We start from the raw sequence: 3,601 nt of genomic DNA, 5'->3' as shown, positions 1-3,601 counted from the left end.
TGTATCTGAAAAAAAAAGAAAGAATGAAATTATAATATGGAGATAAACAACCTTTAGCCTTGCAATGTCTGCATGATTTTTCTCATTTTCAGTTAAAGGAGCCAACACCAAGCATATTGTTATCTTCCAATTTGGAAGATTCTATCGAATCTCAAAGTGAATGCTTTGGCCAGCCTATAAAAGAGACTATTAGCTACAGTGAGAAAATTGAAAATCCAAACCACAAGACTGCCAAGAGCACTGAGTTAGGCCCATCAGTCCAAATGAAGGACAAGATAGCATGACTTAGGTTCAATCTGGAAAAGAGTCCAGGTATATGTGATAGAAAAGGGTAGGAATTTTCATAGTAAGAAGTAAGGAAGATGTAATGTGAGGGCAAGGGAAAAACAAAATGTTTCTTCATTTGCATTCTCTCAGTCACTTTTTCTCAATTGTCATCTTTGTCACATAAAATTTACTGTCTCAACTGAATCAGAACATCCTAGTAGGTTGTTAATGACCTTCATAAATCAGGTAAATTAGTTATTTTTTTCTTACTATTTTTTCTTCTTCAATAGTTGTGTGATCAATTTATGTTGCCTCTCATCCAAGGAAGAAAGTAAGGCCTTGCCTTCTCTTTGCAGAGAAAAGGAAGGCAGAGAGCTCAGCCCACTTAACACCTTCCTTTGTCCAGGTTGAGAACTATCCACAGCACCACGGGAGCCAGAAAAGAAATGAGTCTTTCCTTCGAGAGTGAGCCTTAGGCTGTCTTCTTGTGTGACATGCAAAGCTCAGCACTTTGAAATGTTTAAGGAGAAGGGAAGAAGGAAGGATTCTTTTCTGTCCTATCTTCCTGGTTTAATGAAGGGGTTTCAGGCTCCTTGTTTCCTTAGAGTCTGTGTTCAGGAGCATTGTTGAGGACCCATGGGTCTCTATGAGTTACCTTTTTAGAGCTTTTGGAATACTTTAATTACTTATGGCATGGAAAATGTCAGTCTCTATACCAGTGTCGTAGAAAATCCAGGGAAAAGCTAAACTCACAACTGGATCCCAGGAAAGAAGCCTTCACAGTTTTGTTCTTTCTGCTCAGCTTCCTCTTCTGCCACTGCAGTGAGGGCTTGTTCTTCCCCTCTAGAGAATTGTTCTTATTCTTGAATATAAAATTTGCTAATAACAGCTCACAGATTATTAGTTTGAAAGATGCTCTGAAGACTTATGAGTGTATTTTCCTGGTAGTTTTTTTCCTAAAATTAGTCACCCCAAATCCTCTGATAGTATATGTAAGGAATAATATGCATATCCTAGACTAACAAGAGACTTCAAGCATTTTCCATATGTGGGGGTGCCCAACATTTTTGTGAGAGGTACGTTTTAGTTTCCCAACGCCTTGAGGTACCCATGTGAGTATAACTCCAAAGTGCACATTGGTGATGTTGGACTTGTACATCTCAGAGGGGCTCCACATCACCTCTGTCTGCCTCCACCAGAAACATTCATGAGCCCCCAAGGAGGAGAATTCATCTACTGACTGTGGATGCCTGTCATATTTCACTCAGTTACCTTTAGACCAGGGGCAGTTGATGTCTTTGTTTTGTAAATGAGGAAACTGAGTCACAGAGCAAGGAGAGAAGCCTTCCTAAAACTCAAACCTCTTGCACTTTGTAAGCCTCATGGCTCCCTCTGTCCTAGTACTCACCCTACCATAAGACCGTGAACCTATCATTAGGATTTAAGTAGACATATTAAATTCCATATAACTCAAGGAACAAAAGGCTTCAACTAGGGAGGGAATAACATAAGAAAGATAACGTAATTGCTATAACTGCCATTTTTCAAGTAGGCCTTGCTGTTCCAAGATTTTCCATATTTATGAAGTCTAAAATGTCCTTCTCCCTGTTGCTTGTCAAACTCCTGTCCATCCTTCAGGACCCAACTCAAGTGCTATTTTTCTCAGTGAAGCTTCTATTGGCTTGCACCTGTGCTTCCACTGCCCTCCTTGGTATATCTACTGTAGCAGCTATGATAGTGCATTCTGATCACCTGTTGATACACTTGGGAGCCCCCTAATACTTAGAATGTTCAAATTTTGTCCTCACTCGAGTCATACAACAGACTCAAGATATTGAGAAATATAATTCCACACTGATGAGCATTTTCAACTCATAGTAATCTAGCTGGAGTAGGAAGCAGATTGTGCAAACATGCACAGTTAGAAAACCAAATTACACACCACTTGGGATTTGTAAAGAGAATCGTTGTCAATCACTGCCCTCCTTCTCAAACGATATGATAATAAATACATCCACAGCCCAGAAGTGCTAGGGGAATATAATGCAGAATGTACAACTGACATTAATTAGGAAAGGATGTAGTGTGCAGGAATTTTACACCTGAAAATGATTGTAGAGGCCACTTCCACCTTTTTTACAGGAAGACATCTACACTGTTTAATAACTGAACACAAACAGCAGGTTCCATTTTCTACCTGTGAATACTAATGAGTCACATCATTATTTTCAAATCACTGCACAGAGCGATTTACAGGGCATATTTTCTTTCTAGCCCAGGTTTGACAGGCATGAACCTGCAGCCTTAGGAAAGAGCAGCCTACCTTTACCAAAGTGTTGCCGTGTATGAAATCACAGAAGTAGGCGAACAGAATTCCTGAAAAAGGGATAAAGGATTTATGTGCTTTCAGAGAAGCAATGCAATGTGACTTGAGGTAACAAGCCTAAGTTATGAGTGGGCATGATCGATGTCACCCCTGATGGACGACTGCCCTGAGACCTTTAAGAAACACAGCAGGGCGATGAGAAACACCATAGAGGCAGAGCACCAAAGTGAAAGATGTAGCTTTCCCCGCTCCAGGCTATCAGCATTAGGTCCTGCTGTGCTAATGTTAAGACCATAAAACCCAGGGTCTAACCACTGTGGGGAAGATGGTTTTCAGCAGTCATCACTCATATGTAGGTAATTACCTTTCTTCTCCTTTCATTGTCCTGCTGCTTCTGCAGAAGCTCAGGGTGGAGGCAGGTCACATACTTACCATTGTGATGTACTGTGTTGTCCACTCTCACTCCTCTGCACTGTCAAAGGCCACCTCCACTGTTCCAGATGAAAAATCTCTCTATAATCATGGAAACTGGCAAAGCAATATAATCATTAGCCAGCATGTAATCTTAAACAAATAAGCTTGATGACATGCATAGTCACAAAAATTGTGGGCTCGGTTAGTTTACAATATAAGAAGCTATCCTGCTATGTTTCTTTAAAAGGCGCCTAAGATCATTTTAAAACAGCATTTCAAAGAGTTTTCAAAAACAAGTAGGCTGCCAGTATCTTTTTGGAGACTACTGTGAATACAGCACAGTATAGTGGAAAGAATTTAGAGTCAACAACCCTAGCTCAGCCCCTCATTAAACTCATGACTTTGGATCAAGTTATTAATGACAGGCTCTGGTTTTCTCATTTGTAAACCAGAAGTAGCAATATCTATTTTCTAGGGCTGTTGTGAAGGTAGTACACATAGTTTTTGGCACAAGTTTGACACTAAATAAATAGTGGCTTTTAACATTATTGGTAGTATAATTACCTCCCATTTCTTTCCCCAAAATCTGTGCCT

General features: G+C 40.1%; 2 annotated features.

The window, feature by feature from the left end:
• Positions 238–1,161: an enhancer, noted in NCBI's record as "NANOG hESC enhancer chr11:103454489-103455412 (GRCh37/hg19 assembly coordinates)". NCBI's record gives its function as "activates a minimal SCP1, AML or CMV promoter by ChIP-STARR-seq in naive H9 embryonic stem cells {active_cell/tissue: H9 hESC(naive)}" and the evidence as "EXISTENCE:reporter gene assay evidence [ECO:0000049][PMID:30033119]".
• Positions 2,474–3,399: an enhancer, noted in NCBI's record as "NANOG hESC enhancer chr11:103452251-103453176 (GRCh37/hg19 assembly coordinates)". NCBI's record gives its function as "activates a minimal SCP1, AML or CMV promoter by ChIP-STARR-seq in naive H9 embryonic stem cells {active_cell/tissue: H9 hESC(naive)}" and the evidence as "EXISTENCE:reporter gene assay evidence [ECO:0000049][PMID:30033119]".

Source organism: Homo sapiens, chromosome 11 (genome assembly GCF_000001405.40).
Source record: "Homo sapiens chromosome 11, GRCh38.p14 Primary Assembly".
Lineage (NCBI taxonomy): Eukaryota > Metazoa > Chordata > Mammalia > Primates > Hominidae > Homo > Homo sapiens.
This window is presented reverse-complemented; position numbering and strand designations above follow the sequence as displayed.